This window comes from Homo sapiens, chromosome 17, assembly GCF_000001405.40.
Source record: "Homo sapiens chromosome 17, GRCh38.p14 Primary Assembly".
NCBI lineage: Eukaryota > Metazoa > Chordata > Mammalia > Primates > Hominidae > Homo > Homo sapiens.
The window spans coordinates 45105619-45126449 of NC_000017.11; the positions used below are offsets into that span (position 1 = coordinate 45105619).

At 56.3% G+C, this 20831-nt stretch overlaps 2 protein-coding genes and 1 non-coding gene across 5 annotated transcripts in view, besides 5 other annotated features; 1 reads left to right on the forward strand and 2 right to left on the reverse strand.

Moving 5' to 3' along the window:
- NMT1 (N-myristoyltransferase 1) overlaps positions 1-3398 on the forward strand; it is a 47700-nt gene extending 44302 nt beyond the window's left edge. Inside the window, exon 12 of the mRNA NM_021079.5 lies at positions 1-3398. Coding sequence (NP_066565.1) covers positions 1-21 — 21 coding nt within the window. The 3' untranslated portion in view covers positions 22-3398.
- Positions 1241-1742: an enhancer, noted in NCBI's record as "H3K4me1 hESC enhancer chr17:43184227-43184728 (GRCh37/hg19 assembly coordinates)". NCBI's record gives its function as "activates a minimal SCP1, AML or CMV promoter by ChIP-STARR-seq in naive H9 embryonic stem cells {active_cell/tissue: H9 hESC(naive)}" and the evidence as "EXISTENCE:reporter gene assay evidence [ECO:0000049][PMID:30033119]".
- PLCD3 (phospholipase C delta 3) overlaps positions 3341-20831 on the reverse strand; it is a 23557-nt gene continuing 6066 nt past the window's right edge. The window contains exons 2-15 of one of the 3 annotated variants that reach the window (NM_133373.5): positions 15593-15754; positions 15284-15512; positions 14707-14836; positions 13197-13425; positions 12673-12874; positions 12376-12520; positions 11014-11166; positions 9726-9872; positions 9476-9626; positions 8632-8748; positions 7821-7987; positions 7504-7639; positions 7245-7394; positions 3341-7086 (exon numbers count right to left, since the gene is read on the reverse strand). In NM_133373.5, the coding sequence (NP_588614.1) occupies positions 6998-7086; positions 7245-7394; positions 7504-7639; positions 7821-7987; positions 8632-8748; positions 9476-9626; positions 9726-9872; positions 11014-11166; positions 12376-12520; positions 12673-12874; positions 13197-13425; positions 14707-14836; positions 15284-15512; positions 15593-15754 (2207 nt within the window). In that variant the 3' untranslated portion in view covers positions 3341-6997. The other 2 variants (XM_024450554.2, XM_011524253.4) reach the window with 2 other exon arrangements.
- Positions 6312-7177: an enhancer, noted in NCBI's record as "H3K4me1 hESC enhancer chr17:43189298-43190163 (GRCh37/hg19 assembly coordinates)". NCBI's record gives its function as "activates a minimal SCP1, AML or CMV promoter by ChIP-STARR-seq in naive H9 embryonic stem cells {active_cell/tissue: H9 hESC(naive)}" and the evidence as "EXISTENCE:reporter gene assay evidence [ECO:0000049][PMID:30033119]".
- Positions 7178-8042: an enhancer, noted in NCBI's record as "H3K27ac-H3K4me1 hESC enhancer chr17:43190164-43191028 (GRCh37/hg19 assembly coordinates)". NCBI's record gives its function as "activates a minimal SCP1, AML or CMV promoter by ChIP-STARR-seq in naive H9 embryonic stem cells {active_cell/tissue: H9 hESC(naive)}" and the evidence as "EXISTENCE:reporter gene assay evidence [ECO:0000049][PMID:30033119]".
- MIR6784 (microRNA 6784) lies at positions 8749-8815 on the reverse strand. The gene has a single exon (NR_106842.1). It is a non-coding gene; the product is annotated as a microRNA 6784 (primary transcript).
- Positions 8909-9774: an enhancer, noted in NCBI's record as "H3K4me1 hESC enhancer chr17:43191895-43192759 (GRCh37/hg19 assembly coordinates)". NCBI's record gives its function as "activates a minimal SCP1, AML or CMV promoter by ChIP-STARR-seq in naive H9 embryonic stem cells {active_cell/tissue: H9 hESC(naive)}" and the evidence as "EXISTENCE:reporter gene assay evidence [ECO:0000049][PMID:30033119]".
- Positions 15151-15688: an enhancer, noted in NCBI's record as "H3K27ac-H3K4me1 hESC enhancer chr17:43198136-43198673 (GRCh37/hg19 assembly coordinates)". NCBI's record gives its function as "activates a minimal SCP1, AML or CMV promoter by ChIP-STARR-seq in naive H9 embryonic stem cells {active_cell/tissue: H9 hESC(naive)}" and the evidence as "EXISTENCE:reporter gene assay evidence [ECO:0000049][PMID:30033119]".

The following is a 20831-nucleotide window of genomic DNA, read 5'->3' on the forward strand; positions in this document are numbered from 1 at the left end:
GTTGGACTGGTGCTACAATAACCAGTCACCAGTGCGATTCTGGATAAAGCCACTGAAAATTCGAACCAGGAAATGGAACCCCACCACTGTTGGTCCAATTTTCACACACGTGAGAATCCCTGGCAAAGGGAGCAGAACTGAACCGGCTTTACCAAACCGCCAGCGAACTTGACAATTGTATTGCGATGGCGTGGGCTGCGTGACGTCACCTCCGGTCGTGTCTCTGGTCTCCGTGTTTTCCAGTTAATTACATCCTCATGCAGCCGTGATCAAGGGAATGTAACTGCTGAAAACTAGCTCGTGATTGGCATATAATGGAGTTAACGGGTGAATAATAAAAGTATATATATATATTATATATATATAAATATTTTAAATATCTTTCATGTTCCAAATGTACAAGGATGTTTGGTCTTTAATGAAAAGCTGAATCCAGATCATTCCTCAGAATGAGGACCCGAGGACAGTGGCAGACAGACGCGTTGGCACAGTTCATGGTTTCCTCCAGAGGAGACATTGGCTTATCATGGGGAAAAAGAGGATCTGGAGAACCTCATCCAGCTCCCCTTCTGAATCAGCTGGGATGACTGGCTTTGAGAAGGAAGGGAAGATGGAACAGGCTCAGATCTCATGGGATAGCACGTGGAGCTCTTGGCTGGGGCTGACCCTGGGCAGGGACTTTCCTGCAGGGCCAGACCTGCCTGCATTCTGAGACAAAGCAATGGACGGTCCGCAGAAGCAGACCTCATTGATTGAGTCCTTTCTTCCATCCCCTTGGCCTGCTCCCTGTAGGAAGTCATCCTGCCAACTGATTTAAAAGGGCTCTTTAGCCAGTTGTTGCCAACCTTATAGGGATGAGTCCCCTGTGAGATTTTGCTTTTCCACTGCCTGGGATGATGCAGTTTGAAGAGGCCCTTGGACCTCCTTGTAACATCAGGGACCTTTGGAGACCATTATCAGTGTAAGCCCTGCTTAGCTCATCTTAGAGCAAAGAGCCAGCACCCTGATGTCCCTGGGGTGGCTAGGCAGGAGTGGCGTGGGGCCAATACCCAGACCCCTTCAGCCACCAGCCCCTGGCCTGTGCCTTCCAACCCATTAGCCATTTCTTGTTGTGCCCCTTTCCAAGATACAGCCTGCAAGTGGTAGCAAGAAGTGATTAGAGGCAGATCTGGACTTGGCAACAGAAGTGGTTTCCCATCTCCATTGTCTGAGTCTGATTTTCGCTGATGCTGTTTTGTGGATTTTTGTGGTAGTGATGGTTGTCAGTGCTGCCAGTTTCCCAAAACGTAATCAAGCCTCTGGTCACATGGCTGTCGATGTAGGCATTCTGGAGTGGTGTTCAGCCAAGTGACCGGGCAAAATTGGGCTGTGAAATTGTACTTCCAGGCTTGGATGTAATTTTTGCTCTAGAGAGAAGCAAGTGGTGGGAAGGAGGTAGCATGACGTGTGGTGTGCGGGTTTCCTTGCTGCCGTCACCTCTCCGCTCATACAGGAATGAAGCCTTAGCCAGGAGGCCAGGCTCAGCCCTGTGCCACTCACCGAAGCCACTTTCTACAGGCCAGCAGGGGCTTGTTGCAGGCTGTGGGTTTTGGTGTGGTTTGTCAGAGGCTAATTCTGCAGAGTTTCCAAAACCAGAAGACATCGTATGCTTGGGATGGGGGCCGTGCCACCCGTGGGAATGCTGCCCGCTCTGCAGACTGCTGCTAGAGCCAGCAACTCCACTAAGGTGGATTTTCATCAGGGGCCTGCAGGGCCCTCCCTTTTCCCATTGTTCCTGCGCTGCAAATTGCAGGCCCCAGCAATCGTGACTGACGTTTGCTCCTTGACTCCAAGAAACTGAGACCAAAGAAGCTGCTGTTCTTAGCAAGATGCGCACTGCATTCCACAGGTGGGAGGAGTCGGAGAGGCAGGGGCTTGCTTTGCAGCCCCACAGACAACAGTTGCACAGTGCCTCAAGCCCCAGAGTGGCTCACCCTGTCCAGACCTTTGAGGATATCAAAGGACAAAGTGCCCAAGTCTTTCCTACCTTGGGGGAACCTGGAACTTGGAAAGGCTCCCTGTCCTAGTCTTGATCTGTTCTGGGCCAGGTCCCAGCTTGAGCTGCCTCTGAGATTTGGGCTGTGCGGATCTCTGGAGTGAGCTCTGTTTCGGTTGACCCAGGTCATGGAATGGAAACGGTGAGGCCCCAGTGGCTGTTCTGGAAGAAACAGATCTCCTGGCAAAGGCCCCAGCATCTCCCTCACTGAAACCAGGTGGCCGGCTCCTCGGACTCTGCTTTATGTTGCGGTGAGAACTCTGCCCAGGTGTGCAGGGTTTGGCTTGTGGGCTGCTTGCTGCTCATCTGATTTTTGTCCCAGTAGTCCCTGCGTTCTTCATTCAACCCCTTCTGGGACTTCAGCTCAGAGAGCACCATCCCGGGGGTCAGGGCCTCCCCACAGGAGCCCTGCAGTGTGGTAGCGCCATGGCTGTCTCAAACCAAGCAAAGGAAGGACCCTGAGGCCTTCACGCTAACCGTCCTCGAGCAACTGCTGTTGGAAGGCCTCCCTGGGCCTGGCCCCCACCCTCTGCCACCCAGTCCTCCCAGCTGCCATGTTTCAAAGACGACCTTTACCTCCTGCCTTTGGATTGACTCTGCATTTGACCACGGACTCCAGTCTGTGTGTAGGGAGAGAGCTGAGTAGGAGGCCTCCACTCCGGATCGAGGCCTGTATAGGGCTCGTTTCCCCACACATGCCTATTTCTGAAGAGGCTTCTGTCTTATTTGAAGGCCAGCCCACACCCAGCTACTTTAACACCAGGTTTATGGAAAATGTCAGGCCTTCCCCACAACTCCTGTCTAACTGCTGTCGCCCCCCTACTTGCTGGCTCTCAGAAGCCTAGGGGAGTCCCTGTGGTCCTGAATTCTTTCCCCAAAGACGACCAGCATTTAACCAACCTAAGGGCCCAAAGGCCTTGGACAACTGCATGGAGCTGCACTCTAGGAGAAGGAGGGGAACCAGATGTTAGATCAGGGGAGGGAGCAGGAGTGTCCCTCCCGTCAGTGCCTACCCACCTGTGAGGCAGCCTTCTGATGGCCTGGCCCACCTTCCCCAGAACCAGGGGAGGCCTGAGGCTTCAGTTTTACTCTGCTGCAAAATGAAGGCGGGCCTGCAAGCCGACTACACCTACGGAGGCTGTTGAGGACAATTTCATTCCATTAAATTAAAAAATACTGACTGGCTGGCAGGCAGGTGCCATGTCTGGGAACAGGGACGGGGGAGCTTCACCTTTTTGTCTTGGCTTTTCTTTGGGCTGTGGGGGGGCATCCATTTCCAGGGTCGGGGAGGAAATACCAAATGCATTGTTGTTCTGCTCAATACATCTCACTTGTTTCTAATAAAGAAAGCAGCTGAACAAAACCTTCTGTCCTGGTATTCCTGGTCAGCAGGTGGCAGTGGAAGAAATGGAGTGCTGGAGCCTAGGCTGGAGCCAGGACGACAGGGCTTGGACACAAAGTCCCTCAAGCCCACAGCACCAGGCCAGCTTCCAAAGGCCTTCCTTTAAGGCTGCCCTTCTTCCAGGGCAAACTTGGTGTTGTCAGACCCTTCCCACCCGCCAGAGACGAGCTGCTATTGACCCAGGTTCACTCCAAGTTAGAGCAGCAACTGGGCTCTCAGCCAGCACCTGAGCACCTCAGCACAGGAGCCGGCCCAGGCTTCCCTAGCTGGGCACAGAGCAGCCCCCTTGGTCCAGGTCAGCAGTGGCTCCTCTGGTGGAGGTGCAGGCCCCGTGCCTTCCCACTGTGCCCAGGTGCCACATCTCTCCTCCTGCACCACTGGCCGGGTGGTTCTTTGAGTCACTAGGGGTGCATTTTAACATGGCAAGTTGCTGGGCCCCAGTAGCTGTGTTTAAGACTTCCCATTCCCCCTCTTCTCATCCTCTGGAACTTACCCATTCCCTGACCCCCTGATCCTTTCAGGTCCATGACTGGTGCCTCCAAGCCCCTTTCCAGGGAAACTGAGAGGACACAGGACCTGCCTGACCCCTCTAAAGCCCCCCAACCCTCCTGTCCCAAACCAAGTCACTCAGGCTCCTATGGCCCATGCCTTTTTTCCTGCCCTTAGCTTTGGGCTGAGAGAACATAGCCCTATGTGTTGTTTCTACCCATGGGCCTCTGGGATAAAAAGCTGTGATTTCAGGCTGGGCATGGTGGCTCACGCCTGTAATCCCAGCACTTTGGGAGGGCGAGGCGGGTGGATCACGAGGTCAGGAGATCGAGACCATCCTGGCTAACACTATGAAACCCTGTCTCTACTAAAAACACAAAAAAATTAGCCGGGCATGGTGGTGGGCGCCTGTAGTCCCAGCTACTTGGGAAGCTGAGGCAGGAGAATGGTGTGAACCCGGGAGGCGGAGCTTGCAGTGAGCCAAGGTCGTGCCACTGCACTCTAGCCTAGGCGACAGAGCGAGACTCCATCTCAAAAAAACAAACAAAAAAAAAACCCTGTGATTTCTCCCTTGCTTCTGCTTCCCAGTTCACTTCCTTAAAGACTCTTGCCCTTTTGGCTGGGTGCAGTGGCTCACGCCTGTAATCCCAGCACTTTGGGAGGTCAAGGCGGGTGGATCACCTGAGGTCAGGAGTTCGAGACCAGCCTGGCCAACATGGTGAAACCCCGTCTCTACTAAAAATACAAAAATTAGCTGGGTATGGTGGCGGGCGCCTGTAATCCCAGCTACTCCGGAGGCTGAGGCAAGAGAATCGCTTGAACCCGGGAGGCAGAGGTTGCAGTGAGCCGAGATCACGCCATCGCACTCCATCCTGGGGGACGAGCAAGACTTTGTCTCAAAAGAAAAAAAAAAAAGACTCTTGCCCTTTCAAGGCAGCCTTCTCAGTATTGGGCCCTCATCCTAGCCTTCACCCCTTCCTCTTGGTACCAGATACGAAACCAGAGAAGCCAAGCAGGATGGGCACTCAGCCCTGGGTCTGGTGCTCACCTGACCCAGACCCCCCAGCCAGCCCCTGGCCAGACCTGGCTCTGCAGGGGCTGGGCAATGCTAATGGCTCTTCATTTGCTAAAACTGGACTTAGCCTCACTGTGCCTCCCATCCTGAGGCTGCAGTTTGGCAGCCTGACCCTCTGACAGCCCTGAGTGCCAGATGCCCGGGCTGCCTGGCCCGGCCCGCCTGGCTCGGCCCATTCCTTCTGGGCCCTTTTGATTCTGATTATCCTCTTTCAGACACACAAATTAACCAGAGCCAAACGCCACTCCCAGCATGAAGGAGCGGGGGACACTGCCACTTTCTGCATTAGTTCTTGGAGTTGCTAGAAGGTGGAGTCTGCCCCAGCCCTGTGTTTTGGTTTCTGTGGGGCTTGGGGCCAGTTCAAGGCCTATCCCAGCCCAGTTCCAGGCCACCCTCTGGGGACTAATGTCAAGTTCTGCCCTTGTCCAGTGCCGGCACTGTTGGCTGGCAGAACCTAAAACACCAGGCCTCCACATTTCACCCTGCTGGCAGGGGCGGGTGCAGGATTTTCTCCAGATTCTGTCGCCTAGTGTCCAGTGCGCTCTCCTGGCATTTCTATAGAGGCGGCCCAAGCAGCGTTTCCAGCCTTTGTGTAAAAGGCTGGCTGGCTGGAGGAAGGGAAGCCCGTGTCCTTGGGATTTGCCCTACTGAGCAGACAGGGGCCTTGAGCCCAGCCAAGCCTGGAGAGTGGCAGTCTGAGGGTCCCTCAGACTCCTGTCTCCTCCTCATTCAAGGCCCCTCTGTGTATGTGTGAGTGTGTGTGTGTGTGTGTGTGTGTGTGTGTTGTGGGGAGGCGCTGACCTGCTGAATTGGCATCCTCAGACAGTCTTGTGATACTCGCAGCAGCTTTAAGCCAGGAGCAGGGATCGGGCTATTTAGAGCTGTGGCATCTCCTGCTGCCACCCCCTGGCTGTCTTAGCCAAGTCCATGCCCTGTTGAGGGGAGAGGCCCAAGAAACTCATCCAGCCCTGTCCCTCCTCATGGGCCTGTGGGGGTGGCAGCATAGAGGTGCTCAGGGAGTGGCGGTGGTGAAATCAACGTGCTTCTTTATTTTTTAAACTAGATAGGCTCATTCTACTGTCTTCTCCAGGGCTCTTCTATGAAACAGTTACAAACCTACGGCCAGGCCAGGCAGTGGCTCACACCTGTAATCCCAGCACTTTGGAATGCTGGGGCAGGAGGATCACTTGAGGTCAGGAGCTCGAGACCAGCCTGGGCAACATAGGGAGACCCCCGCCCCCCCCGCCATCTCTACATAAAATTTAAACATTAGCCAGGTTTGGTGGCCTGTGCCTGTAGTCCCAGCTACTCAGGAGGCTGAGATGGGAGGATCGCTTGAGCCTGGGAGTTCAAAGCTGCAGTGAGCCATGATTGCAACATTGCACTCCAGCCTGGGCGACGGAGCGAGACCCTGTCTCAAAAAATAAAAACCAAAACCTACTGCCAGTTTCCCCAGGGCTTCATGCCTCAGCGCTCCCTTCTTGCTTTGAGAAGGGAAGGGGAGCTCAGGTTCCGGAGCTGGAGGGAGGAGTCCAGGAAGGCCTGGGGTAAAGGAGGGCTTAGGGGCTAAGCTCGGGGTCGGGGCCAAGTGGAGTGACTGCGCTCCTCTGGGGGAAGGAGGCTGGGATGGCCCACGGGAGGACAGAGGGGAACTGAGGGCCCACAAGTGTCCTGCTCCCCAAGTCTCCTGGCAGCAACAGGCTTGCTCCTCATAAGTCACAATGAGGGGTGGGCTGAGGACAAGAGGAGCTGGGGCCATCTCAGGGCCCCAGGGTTGGAGCTCACTGAAGTCACATGAACACCTTTCTGTTCTTCAGGAGGGGCCCAGGCAGCCCTCAGCACCCAGGTGAGACCAGCGCCTGGTGAATGGGCTGAGTGGGCCAAGTGGGTGGGCTGGGGGGCTGGTACTCCCACCACCTGACTCCAGAGGAGGAGAGGGCTCTGCAGGGGATGTGGACTGGCACTCGCAGAACCCCAAGGCGAGTGAGGTGGGCCCTCAGGAGCGCTGGATGCGGATTTGGATGAAGAGCGTGGCTGGTGACAGTGAGGCCCCGTCCTTGGAAAGCAGGTGTATGTGGCGGTACCCTGTAGGGAGGACAGCCAGGCCTCAGGTCCTCTGTGCACCCTGGGGGTCTGGCCCAGCCCGGGCCTGCTTCAGGGCAGGAAATTCGAGGCACAAAGGTGAACAGGGTCTGCAGGACCTGGACCCACATCCCTCTCCATCCCCACCAGCCTCCACCAACCTTGCTTTAGGCTGCTAAGAGGCAGTGTAAACTGGCCCACAAAGTCATTGGGGGAGGTGGCGTCATAATCTTCCACCACAAACCGGACCAGTGCCAGCTCCGGAGCCCGCAGCTGGAACTGCAGGGTCTGCCCCCAGCGGGGGTTGAAGCCTAGGGCACAGGGATGGCAGTCAGAGCCCAGGGGCCCCAGGACCCACCCTGCACCACCCTTCGCTCTCTGCAGTCTCCCCCAACCCCACTTCCGCCAGTGGCTGCCCACCATTGTTGAGCACGTAGTCAGTCTCCTGCCGGGCACAGTCTGCGGGCACCCCATGGATCTCAATGCGCACCAGGGGGTCCACAATGGAGTGTGGCTTCTCGGCATTCAGCTTGGGCAGCTGCTGTGCAGTCAGCACCTGTGGGTGAGGGAGGGAGTGGCTGGGGCCCACGCCCACCTTGGCCATCCCCTCATGGGCCTCAAGCTCACACCACCCTCACTTCCAAATGTCCCCAGCCTCCCTTGCCTTCCTCCACCTCACAAAGAGCCTTTCTAGAACCAGTCTGACCCCACACTGGGGCCCGTTCCAGCCTGCTGACCTGGATGCTGAGAGTGGTTCTGGGAGGTCCTGGGTACTCGGGGTCAAAGGTCGAGTCAGGTTGCCGCAGGCAGGCAGGTTTTAGGACGTAGCCACACTGCCCATTGACTAGGAAGCGCCCGGCATTGAGGTCCATCTCGTAGCCTGGCGTCTGGAAGTTCAAGGCCACTGTGGACACAGCAGGGTCAGAGCAGGGGCTCTTAGCGGCCCTGTTCTCACTACTCAGTTTCAGGGGACTGCATTCCTCTCTACAAAGGGCCTGGGGTCCCACTGTCTGCTTAGTGCTGCTCTGCTCCCACCATGACTTTAGGGGAGGGGGTCATGGACCCAGCCCCCACTGTCACCTGTACTTCTGCCCTGGGATCCCTCAAGACTGGGGTGGGAGGTACTAAAAAAGCCCCCACCCTCAGGGCCAGGCTTGGGTCAGAGCCAGGGGTCTGAGGAAGCCTGGGGTTTCCATCCTTACCCCAAGGAGACGATACAGCCCTCCTTTGGTGGGGCTCAGCGTCCCCCAGAGCCCACCCTTGTCAGTGTTGACTTAGTGGGACTGCCAGGTGTGTGGGGGTTGTGTGTGTCCGGGGGACATGGGAGTGGAGATTTTAATTTCTACCATGATAAAAATGCGAGACCTGTACACTGTCAAGAACAAACGAGCCTGATTTGATTTTCCCACCTACATTGCTGGCAACTTTAAAAATAATCAACAAAATGCGTGTTTCCACCGTCTGGAAGGCTGTGTGGGCCCCTCACTGCTGAGGCCTCCCCCACACTGTGGCACCCCGCCTGCTCTCATTCCTGTGGCCCCCACTTACCCAGCTGACAGCCCGAGTTCCACATCTCCTGGGGACTGTAGTTGGCTGAGTTCATCCGCAGCCCCAGCGGGTACACGCGGGTCAGCTGGCGGGCATTGTGCCTGACAAAGCTGTTCCCTGGGGCAGAGTTGGGGTGAGACCGTGACAGACTCCGGGGGTCCCTCACCCAAAGCCCCGGCCTGTAACCTCCAGGGAACAGAGCCCAAGCCCGTCCCCAGGTCACCCTGCCCCCGCTCCTCACTCTCTTCTGACCTAGAGTGAGAGGGGAGCTCACTGAGGAGGCTGCAGGGACCCCCTCCAGCCACACAGCCTGGCCCTGCATCCCCAGCCCCCAATTCCCAGCTCCTGACAAAGTTCCAACCAAGTACACTGAATGCCCACGGCCCTCCAGCTCCACTGTGGTTCCTGGAATTCTTCTCCAGGCCAAGGCCCCAGGCCTTCAACAACCTGTTCCTCCTGTCTGGAAAGCGCTCTCCCCTCTTCACCTGGCTGCTTCCTAGTCCTCCAGGTGATGTGTCCTCTCAGCATCACCTGCCCCAGGAATTCCTCCCCAGTGTTGCAGCAGCTGCTGGGCTCCCCCAGCCCCCAGCCCAGCCTGACCCATCACCCTCTATGGCCGGCCCCACCACAGGGCTCTGAAGGCAGACAGCAGGCCGCCCTCAGCGTGCCACTCCCCTCCATCCACCCTGGCATGTGCGGGGCCCTCATTCCCTCAGCCCAGCCCCTCTTTGGGGTCCTCTTGACCTCTTTACTGTCCCCCAAAGCCCCCTCAACTCCTTTCCAGACTCCCTTCAGGAGGTCTCTCACCCTCTCGCCCCCAGACACCCAGTGCCCCAGCTCCTACCTGCCTCCCGAATGAGTTTCTTGGCTTTGCGCTCGCTGAGGGAGCTGACCTGGCAGGGTTGTGGGGCGTTGGGGGCAGGGTGCAGGGTCCGCAGGCGGGTGGCGTGGCAGTACACAGCCAGGGCCGACAGCTCCGGGGAGATCTGCTTGGCCTAGGAGACCAGGCTCAGCGGGGTTCAGCTGGCCCCCGCTTCCCACATCCGTCCTCCCACCTTCCCCCCCTTCCCCACCCCACCCATCCCAGCTCTCACCAGCCGCCTCTGCGCTGCAGCCTCCACCTCCTCTTCTTCCTCCTCGTCATCCTCCTCCTCCTCCTCCCGATCCGACAGAGCCCGGCCATCCTCGCTCCGAGCAGCGGGCAACTTCTTTCCCTTCACCAGGACCCGGCCCTTCAGCTGCTGTGGGGGCCAACGTGGAGGATGAAGGGTTAGGCCTTCTCGCCCCTGTGGCAGCCAGTCAGTCAGTTATTCAACCACCGCCTTGTGAGGGGCTGGCTAGGGGTGGGAGGCAGGAAAGGAGACACAGAGATGAGCGATGTTTCTAATAGGAAAGAGTGGAGAATGGCCCGGGAGGCCATCAGGAAGGGATGCTTAATAAGGTCCCTCAACATCAGAATATACACAGCAGCCACTACAATGCACGCGACAGCTCAGGACTGAAAGGAAAGGGACCCTCTTCAAAGAAGATCTTACGTGGAAGAAGTGAGGCTACAACCTGGAATCACATGTCCTTTTTTGGTACCATTTAAAAGAGAAGACAGTACACATATGTACACAGGTAATGTGTGTGGGGAAATTCTTGAAGGACATGCAAGAAAGTTAGAGATGGTTACTTCTTGTGAAAGAGGACAGGTCAGTGGAGGGAGGGGAGCACTGCTCATCGCGTCCCTTAGTACAGCTCAGTTTTCTTTTACCATACGGGTGTGATTTTCACAGTAATAACAAAAATCACATCTCACACACACACGAGGGTGAGTCAACCCTGCCTGCATGTTGGGGATTGGAAGTAGGAGGAGAGTTTTCTCAAGGAGCCCGACAGGATAAATGTCTGGAGAGAGCCGAGGACGCGCTCTGGTGTCTGGGGGAGAGCAGGAGGCCGCCTCAGGCCCGAGAGTTGGGGAAGTGGATAAGGCCACAGGAAGAGGCGGCTGAAGTTGAGCTGAATTCTAAGCAGGTGACGCTTGGCAAGTGTGGATGGCCGAGAAGGGACTTCCAGGTGGAGAAAGTGTCAAGCGGGGCCTTGCAGGTGGGAATGGCAGAGCCTGCAGGACTCTACGGGCAGGGACACAGGGCCAGCAGGGCAAAGCCAGGTTACAGAAGAGGGTGTGTGTGTGGGGGGGTCTAGTCAAGAATGGAGAGCCAGAGGGCAGCAGAAGGACAAGACCAGGGGATGGCAGACCTCAGATGAACAGAGGAACAGAGAAAAGTTAAGGCAGCAAGAGGTGAGGGGTCCTGAGCCACAGAGGTGGCACGAGCAGTGCGGGGAGGCGGACTCCCACCAGACCTCCCTCCACCCAGGCTAGGGGCTGGGGGGCGTCACCTCTGGGGATGGCAGCTCCTCGGGATTTGGGGAGTCCAGCGCCTGTGTCACCAGCATGTCCCCCAGGATGGTGCAGAGGTGGCGGGCCATGGCAGCCTGCTGCTCCAGCCCGCAGTGGTTCTCCAGGGATAGGATGACAGGGTAAGGGGACAGCTGTGGGGGGAAGGGCAGCAGCTCAGAGCCACTCCCCTCCCTCTGCCAGTATCTCCCAACATCTGGCTCCCAGACCCTTCAGGACAGGCAGGCAAAGGCAGGGCTCTGGAGAACCCAGGGAAGCAGCAGACTGTCCAGGAGGCTGAGGGCGGCTGCAGGAATTATTTTTTTTTTCTTTGAGATGGAGTGTTGCTCTGTCGCCCATGCTGGAGTATAGTGGTGCAATCTCAGCTCACTACAATTCCATCTCCCGGGTTCAAGCGATTCTCCCTGCCTCAGCCTCCTAAGTAGCTGGGATTACAGGCGCCCGCCACCACACCCGGCTAATTTTTGTATTTTTAATAGAGATGAGGTTTCACCATGTTGGCCAGGCTGGTCTCAAACTCCTGACCTCAGGTGATCTGCCCACCTCAGCCTCCCAAAGTGCTGGGATTACAGGTGAGAGCCACCACGCCTGGCCGATTTTTTGTTGTTGTTGTCTATGCTTTGGTCTCTCTCCATCACCCAGGCTGAAGTGCAGTGGCACAGTCAGTCTCCCTGTGTTCTCCAGTCCTGGGCTCAAGTGATCCCCCCACCTCAGCCTCCTGAGTAACTCAGCCTACAGGCACATGCCCCCACACTCAGCTAATTTTTATTTTTGTTGAGACAGGATGTAGCTATTTGCTCAGGCTGGTCTGGAATTCCTGGCCTCAAGTGATCCTCGCGTCAGCCTCCCAGAGTGCTGGGAATACGGGTGTGAGCCACCGCACCTGGTCCCATAAATGCTTTTTACATGTGAATGACATTGACTATGTCAGTGATGTGAAAACTCTCCTCCCATCATTTGCTGATGGGAAGATTTGCACACTGTGACCAAAGTTGCAGTGTTTATGCAGATGCCACTGGTGAGCTTCTCTTACAGCTTATTTATTCTTTGGAAGTCATGATTAAAATGTCCTTCCCTCCCCCAAAGGTTTTCTTCTGGAAACTCTGTGATTTTTAGGACATTTCCCAAATATGAGAGAGGGAACATATTTCCCAAATATGAGGGTGGCATCTCATTCAGCTTTATGCCACCCCATTGGCCACTTATCCCAGCAGCACTTGGTGAATGAATGATTCTCTGGGCAAGGGTTTCCTCTGGAAGGACGGAGGGCAGCTGGCATGTGAGTGCGGACGGAGGTCATTGGGAAGGCTGTGGGGCTGGGGCTGGGCATCCCAGGGGCTCACCGTGAAGGCATGGTCGCGCACGGCTTGGACCACGTCCCGGAAGAGAATCTTGGAGGTGAGGGTATGGCCATGATAGATGACGGGCTCCCCTCCTGGCCCCTCCCAGCAGTCCAGCTCCACGCAGCGGCATCCCTGGGCAAAGGCCCTGTGTGTGGACAGATGGGTGGACGGGCAAGGTGTTGCCAGAGTGCCACAGAGCAGGGCAGCAGGCAGGCTGGGCCAGGAAGGCCCCAGGAAGCCAGCCCATGTCTCTCCCCAGGTGGGGCTCCCGGAAACATTCACCCCCTGCTACAGTACCTAACATAGGCCTCGGTGCTGCTGGGCCCCCCGATCTGGGAGTCAGTCAGATAGGTGTTGTGGGAGGAAGAGATGAAGTAGTGGGCAAGGGGCTGGTTCATGTCCTGGAACACACACGTGTGGGTGTTGTCCAAGGCAGCCCCCTCCGGCGACAACAGGTACATCATGAAGCCATCCAGTGTCATCAGCTCATGCTGCTTGGCTGCAGGGGTGGCAGGAGAGGGCATCAGGCCACATAGGGATCCCCCATGTCCAGCTTCCAATGCCCCCAAGGCCCACTCAGCTTAGGAATAATGACTAGACAATCTACTGACTAGACTCCATGTAAGTCATGCCACTTAACCTTCGACCAGACCCTGGGAGGAAGACAAACTGTTGTGCCATTTTACACATGTGGAAGCTGAGTCTGGAGGAGGTGAGGTAACCTGCCCGAGATGATGCCCGCGCCAGCCCGCAGCAGAACCCGCTTAGCTGGGAACACAGCCCTTTCAGGTGCCACGACCTGGCCGTGCCACCCCCCCCACCTGTCTCGTTGAGCTCATAGGTCTGAATGAGCTGCTGGGCGCGGGCCAGTGTGGCGCCCTCCTCGCCCTGGTCCTCCAGGAACTCCAGCAGCTCAGGGGCACTCAGCACGCGGTCCTCGCCCGAGTACTGATGGAAGATCTCCTCCAGCTCCGGCCGCTTCAGCAGCCGCCGCAGGAACTCCTCGATCTCAGCCCCCTCTAGACGGTCGTTGTTGGAGTGGTCACACTCCTGGGGAGCAGCAGGAGAAGCTCAGAGGAGGCAGACACTCCAGGAAACCTGGCCCCTTTGACCCATCTGTCATCTACCACATCTGAGAAGGCAATGGTCCCCATTTCACAGGTGGAAAAACAGAGTAAGACTTGTGACTCTAGCTCACACAGCTGGTAAATTACAGGGCAGGATTTTTTGGTTTGTTTTTTAGGTTTGTTTGTTTGTTTGGTCTTGCTCTGTTACCCAGGCTGGAGCGCAGTGGCATGATCATAGCTCACTGCAGCTTCCAACGCGTGATCTCAAGTGATCCTCCCACCTCAGCCTTCCAAATAGCTGGACAGCTGGGACCACTGGTGTGCACCACTGCACCTGGCTAATTTTTGTATTTTTTGTAGAGATGGGGTCTTGCTGTGTTGCCCAAGCTGATCTCAAACTCCTGGCTTCAAGCAATCCTCCCGCCTAGGCCTCTCAAAGTGCTGGGATGACAGGGGTGAGCCACTGAGCCTGGCCGGCAGGGCTGGACTTAAAAGGTCTCTCTGGTTCAGTGCCTGCCCCTCTGCACCATGACCTACCCCAGGAATCAAGATGTGGAAGGAAAAATGGTGACCCTGGGCCAAGACAGGGCCCTTGGGCCCTCACACTCCCCTAGGTGGACACGTTACTATCCTGACATGCACATATTCACACCCAGCATCATTGAACAAGTCAATGAGAATTCATGGAGCATCCCTGTGAAGCTGTGGCCCAGGGGTCCAGCTGCCATGGGCTCTCCTGTCTTTCGGGGTCACAGGTGGGTCCCACCATCCACATGCACACAGAGGTCTGCCATGGGCTCCAGCTGGGCCATAGCTGCAGAGCCCACTCCTGTGTGCCCCTGTGCTCCCATGCATGAGGTGCCAACACGTGCCACAGTGGAGGGTCTGCGTGGAGAAGGGTGCACACGTGTATCCGTGCACATGCACACCTGTAGGCTGGCTCCTGCCTGTGCCCCCACGTGCAAAAGGTGCCTTGCAGACTCAGGGAAATGAAAACAGCTTTGCTGCTCACTTTGGAGGGGTAGGAACTGAGGATGAGGAAAGTTCTGGGCCCCGGCTCCCCACTCCCTTCCTGGCCCAGTGGCCTCAGGGGAGGCAAAAGGCTAACTAACCCCAGATGTTGCCTTTGTGCAGGGAAAGGCTGCTCGCTCCAAAAAAGCTGCAGGTGGAGAGGGCAGGGGAGCTGATGATTCAGATGGCTGGGGGCAGGCAGAGGTCAGAGTGATGGCAGAGCCAGGGGCTGGGGTTCAGGGCGGAAGCCCACCTTGAAGAGGAGGTAGGCGTACATGTCGTTCATGTCCACGTTGACCATTCTCAGCAGGCTCTTGATCTCCTTGAAGCTCATCTTGCTGTCCTGGTTGGAGTCAGCCCGGTGCAGATAGGAGTGGATCCAGGTGTGGGTGCTCAGGAAATAACAGCAACACGCCAGGCTGCCCCCAGCCCTCAGGTAACTGGCTGGTAAGTCACCCCCACCTGGGTCTGGGGGATCCCCAGTTTAGGGGCTGTACTTTCCCCTTGGCCTGTGCACTCCCCGAGCACGGTAGCAGTGTCTCCTCCGCAGGACTGGGGCTTACCAAAGACAGGAGGCCCTGTCTTCACCCTCAGAAGGCCTCAGGCCTCCCTGAAGGAGGCGCCGCGCCACCCCTCCTGGTGGGAGCTTGGGCCTAGCCAGGGCGCGTGTCCCCACCCTCAGTTTCGAAGACCAAGGGCTCCGACCCAGACCGTGCGCCCTCAGGACAGGGCCCTGCCTTCCCTGGGCGTGGGGGCTCTCCAAGGATGGGGCTCTCCAAGGTTAGGGCTCTCCAAGGATGGGGCCCTCCCTCCCAGCCCCGGCAGGATATTGGTCTAGCCGCTCGCGCTGGCTCATGGCGTCCAGGCGCGCGCGGAGCTTGGTCAGACCGCGCACCCAGCGCTGCGCTTCCTCAGCCGTGGGCGCCGCCAGGTCCAGGTTCTTGCGGCGGCCCTTGAAGGCGATGGTGAGGCAGCGCGCTGGCGCGAAGGCACCCCCGAAGCGCCGCAGGCCCTCGGACTGGTGGCCCTCGCGGACCGCCTCGATGTGCTGCACGAAGACTGAGAGGAGGGCCGGGTCAGGGCGGAGGACCGGGCCTGTCCCCACCTCCCTGTCCGCCCGGCGCTCCCCGGCCTCTCACAGATGTGCTGCGATGGCGCACGCGGGATGCGCCGCTGGAACCACACGCTCAGGCCGTCCTCCTGCAGCCGGTACAGCCGCTCCTTGTGCCACGTGCGCGAGCGGATCTTGCGGAGCCGGGAGCCCCGCAGCATGGCGCGCACGTCCTCGTCCTCCGTCAGGCCTGGCGGGGCGGGAGGACCCGGGGCGTCAGGCCGTACCTGCCCAGAGGCTCCCCTGCCCTCCCCCGCTAGGACCTGCTGCCCCATCCTCCAGCCTCTCCAAACCCAGGCCTTCATCCCACAGTAAGCTTCCCTCCCCCTCACAGGACTCCCCTCCTCCCCGATTGTAAGAAGCCTCCTGCACTGGGTTTGGCTTTAGGCTTTGGAGCCCTAAACGCCCCCCAACCCGTACCCCATCTCCCTCCTTCCTTCCAAGCAGCGGCCTCTGCAGTCCCTCAGTGTGGAACTGCCCTCGGACAATGCCTGGGACTCAGGCCTCACTAAAGGTTGCCCTTTCTGGCAGGGCGCGGTGGCTCACGCCTATAATCTCAGCACTTGGGAGGCCGAGGTGGGTGGATCACTTGAGGTCGGGAGTTCGAGACCAGCCTGGCCAACATGGTGCAACCCCACCTCTACTAAAAATACAAAATTAGCTGGGTGTGGTGGCACATGCCTGTAATCCCAGCTACTTAGGAGGCTGAGGTTGCCATGAGCCAAGATTGTGCCACTGCACTGCAGCCTAAGCGACAGAGTGAGACTGCGTCTTAACAAAAAAAAAAAAAAATTGCCTTTTCTGCCACTATCCCCCACCACATGGCTTCCAGCCTTCAAGTCCAGAATTTGCCACCAACAGCCTTTTTCCCTTGATGTGAAACCGTAGCCATCAGGAAGGTCTCACCATCTAACCTAGATCTCTCTTGCTGTAACCCAAGCACCTTGCCTCTGCTTTCCCAAAGACAAGGAGGACAGCAGAGGCCACCCTGGCTCCAGGGTCACAGGCCAAGGACTCCAGGATCAGCCCTGCCCAGCTGATCTCCAGGCATGGGAGGCTGAGGCATGAGAATCACTTGAATCCGGGAGGCGGAGGTTGCAGTGAGCCAAGATTGCGCCACTGCACTCCAGCTTGGGCAACAGAGTGAGACTCTGTCTCTAAAAAATAAATAAATAAAAGCATCTCCTGTGTGCAGGCCCTGCTCATGTACTAATAGACAAGGAAACTGAGGCTCAGGGAAGCTTAAGTAAGTTGTCAGAATTCCATACTGGTAGAAGCCACTTTGGGCTCTGGAGGTCGGGGTCCAGCGCCTCTGACCTTTGGCCCTGCACTGCACGGCTCTTCTAGTGCTTCTAAATTCCGAAGTCTGGGGAGTAAGTCTCAACACTGTCACTTCCCAGTTATTTAATACATGGCCCCAGTGGCACTAACCTGTCACTAAGCCTCATGTTCTCCATCCATAAAATGGAGACCACAATCATACCTGCTGCAAAATCCAAAATTCAGAGGTTTCTACAGCGTGACCGACACTGTGCCCCGGAGAGTTTCGGCCCTCTCCTGGCTCTGGCCCCCTGGAACACGTGATGCCCAGCCCAAACAGTGCCACACCCTGCTCTACAATGCCTCAACGAGAGTCACAACCAAAGATTTTTGAGTCAGAGGACAATAGAGGAGGTGGGAACTGGGTAAACGGAGAGTCCATGGCCTTTGGAGGTGGGGCACAGCCCGGAGTGAATGAGGGCCCAGAGTTTCCAGAGAACCGAATATAGATCTGTGTGTGAAGCCTCCAGATATTCTAATGTTGACAACGAAATCAAATTGAAAAAAAATAAAAATCAATAACCCCTGTGTGGGCCAAAAGAAGTAAGACAGAGGGCCTCTCTTCCTCCCTTTATTTCGACAAGCCCCTAATACTGGGTTTGGCTTTGTGACCCCAAGGCCCTGGCTTGCCCAATTGCAAATTCTGACCTAAGGAATTGAGTCTATATCTCTGGACCATCTCCTCTCACCCTCTCTTGGACCCTTTTGTAGGATCCTTCTCCCTTCTCTTCCTCCTATCTGAGTCCTTGAAGGACCAGTTCAGATATCACCTCCTCCAGGAACCCTTCCTTGATTTGTCCTCAAGTGGACATTCTCCCTCTCTGACCACTAACAGCACTTTTTGCTTTAATTAAAATAAAACACAAAACCCACCTATATACTTTAATAAATCTGAGGGCGGAATGAGGTCTTATCTCCTCACCACAGTGCTCATCCCAGAGCCAGGATACCAGCTAGTGTTGACTGAAGGGGCAGACAGGTAGACGGACAGATGGGGGGACTAAGTGAATTCTATCCCCAGCTCTGCCCCATCTGTCCAGAGTTCAGGACAGAGGCCTCGCAGGGCAGAGGCCTCGCAGGTCAGGGTTTCTCAACCTTAGCTGTGCATCGGAATTACCCAGGGGAGGCTGCAGACACCACAGCCCAGGGCATCTCACCCAGCTGGTGTGGGATGGGGCCTGGGCATCTGTATTTTTAAAACCCACTTTGACCATGACTGAAAATCAGGGTCTCAGGGGCAAGAGGAGAAATCCACCTCCTTAAGAGGCCATGACCCCTTGGGGCCAGCCTGTGGCCCTAACAGCTCCAGAGGGTCCCTCAGGGTCTAGACTGTGGCCCTCTGAGTGAATGCCCACTCGGTACCCCCTGGTCAGGAAGGGGAAAGTGGAACCCTCCTCTTTCCAGACAAAGAGCTGGGTGTACACGGCACGTGCCAGGCCGAGGGGCTCACCAGACCCCCCCCCCAACCAGGTCCAGGTAGCCTCTAAATGGTCCCATCCTGAGCAATGACACGGTGAGGGCAGAGGGGAGCCTGCAGCGCCACTACACTTAGGCACATCCTCCTACACCCCCTTGGCCATGGGAAGGGGGACTGCTCATTGCCATGACAACCAGGCTCTGCAGCTGGGGCTGCCTCCCCTACCTAGGCCAGCCCTCTGATGCCAAGCCCATGGGTGTGGGGGAGATGAGTGACTAAGGCCGGAAATGGGGGTGAGTCACCGGGGCCTGCTCTGTCCAGAGCCTTCTGCAAACAGGCCATCAACACAGGCAGCCTGAACGCCTGACTGGGCCCCCACTTGGGCAGGCTCCCAATGGAGGGGGCCCCTACTTCTGGCCCCTTACCCTCAGCTCCCCAGGAACCTGTTGGGGGAAGGGGTGACATTCCAGGCTGCCCCGCAAACTGGCACTGCCCCCCAAACACACACCCAGTGGAAAAGCCAAACAGAAGGAGGGTGCAGTCCCAGGCGGGGCCAGGTGCTGAGTCCCTGGTTGGGTGCTTCTGTGTCCCCACTGCTCGTGCTTCTGAACCCTGGGGCAGTGAGAGGACTGGGGTGTCCAGCAGGAAGGGCAGGGCCAACAGAGGTAAGGAGGCAAGGTCAGAGGGAGGGCTCAGGGCCAGGGCAGCGATGCTGCGAGGACCGTGGCTCTCCATCCAGCCACCCAGTAGACATTTATAGGTCCTGCCAGGCCCAAGCCCACAGATGTCGCCTTGACCTTGTTCCTACCTGCTCTGAGCAGGTGCACAAGCCGCCCACCTCCTACTGTTCCTGTGGGGTTTGTATCTACTTGAACCATCTCTGCCTTGATCCTGTAGCTGCCGGGCCAGTGACTGAGTGGGTGGAGACAATCACAAAATAATAGCAGTGAAAATGAGGGCAAACGAAAGCCAAAAGGTGGAAACAACCCGAGTGCTCATCAACAGATGAGCCTGTAATCCCAGCACTTTGGGAGGCCAAGGCAGGCGGGTCATTTGAGGTCAGGAGTTCAAGACCAGCCTGACCAATATGGTGAAACCCTGTCTCTACAAAAAATAAAAAACATTAGCTGGGCATGGTGGCTCACACCTGTAATCCCAGTACTTTGGAAGGCCGAAGCAGGCAGATCATTTGAGGTCAGGAGTTCAAGACCAGCCTGACCAACATGGTGAAACCCTGTTTCTGTTTAAAATATAAAACATCAGCCGGGCATGGTGGCTCACACCTGCAATCCCAGCACTTTGGGAGGCTGAGGCATGTGGATCATTTGAGGCAAGGAGTTCGAGACCAGCCTAACCAACATGGTGAAACCCTGTCTCTACTAAAAACATAAAACATTAGCTGGGCATGGTGGCTCACACCTGTAATCCCAGCACTTTGGGAGGCCGAGGCAGGCAGATCATTTGAGGTCAGGAGTTCGAGACCAGCCTGACCAACATGGTGAAACCCCGTCTCTACTAAAAATAGAAAACAGCCGAGCATGGTGGCCCACGCCTGTAATCTCAGCTACTAGGGAGGCTAAGGCAGGAGAATGCTTGAACCCGGAAGGCAGAGGTTGCAGCGAGCTGAGATTGTGCCACTATACTCCAGCCTGGGAGACATGGCGAGACTCCGTCTCAAAAAACAAAACAAAACAAAACAAACAAAAAACATATGAGACAGATGAGTGCATAAGCAAAATATGGTTTATCGATACAATGGAATAGTATTCAGCCATGTAAAGGAGTGAAATCTGATGCACGCTACAACATGGATGAACCTTGAAAACATCATGCTAAGTGAAAGAAGCCAGACCCCAAACGACAAATACTATGTGATTCCACCCATGTGAGGTACCCAGAGCGGCAAGTTCATAGAGACAGAAAGTAGCTGGGAGGGTACCAGGGGCTGGAATGGGGAGGTAATGGAGAGTTATTGCTTGATGGTTAGTTTCTGTTTGGATGATGAAAAAGTTTTGGAAATAGGCAACAGTAATAGTTGCACAACAGCGTGAATGTAATTAATGCCAGTGAATTAACCACTTAAAAATGGTTGCAATGGCCAATTTCATTATATATATTTTACCATATTTTTTTTTTTTTTTTGAGATGGAGTCTCGCTCTGTTGCCCAGGCTGGAGTGCAGTAGCACGAACTTGGCTCACTGCAAGCTCCGCCTCCTGGGTTCACGCCATTCTCCTGCCTCAGCCTCCTGAGTAGCTAGGACTGCAGGTGCCCGCCACCACACCTGGCTAATTTTTTTTGTATTTTTTAGTAGAGACGGGGTTTCACCGTGTTAGCCAGGATGGTCTTGATATCCTGACCTCATGATCCGCCCACCTCAGCCTCCCAAAGTGCTGGGATTACAGGCATGAGCCACTGCGCCCAGCCTATTTTTTTTTTTTTTTTTTTTTTTTGAGACAGCATCTCGTTCTGTTGCCCAGGCTGGAGTGCAGTGGCACGATCTCAGCTCACTGCAACCCCCACCTCCCGGG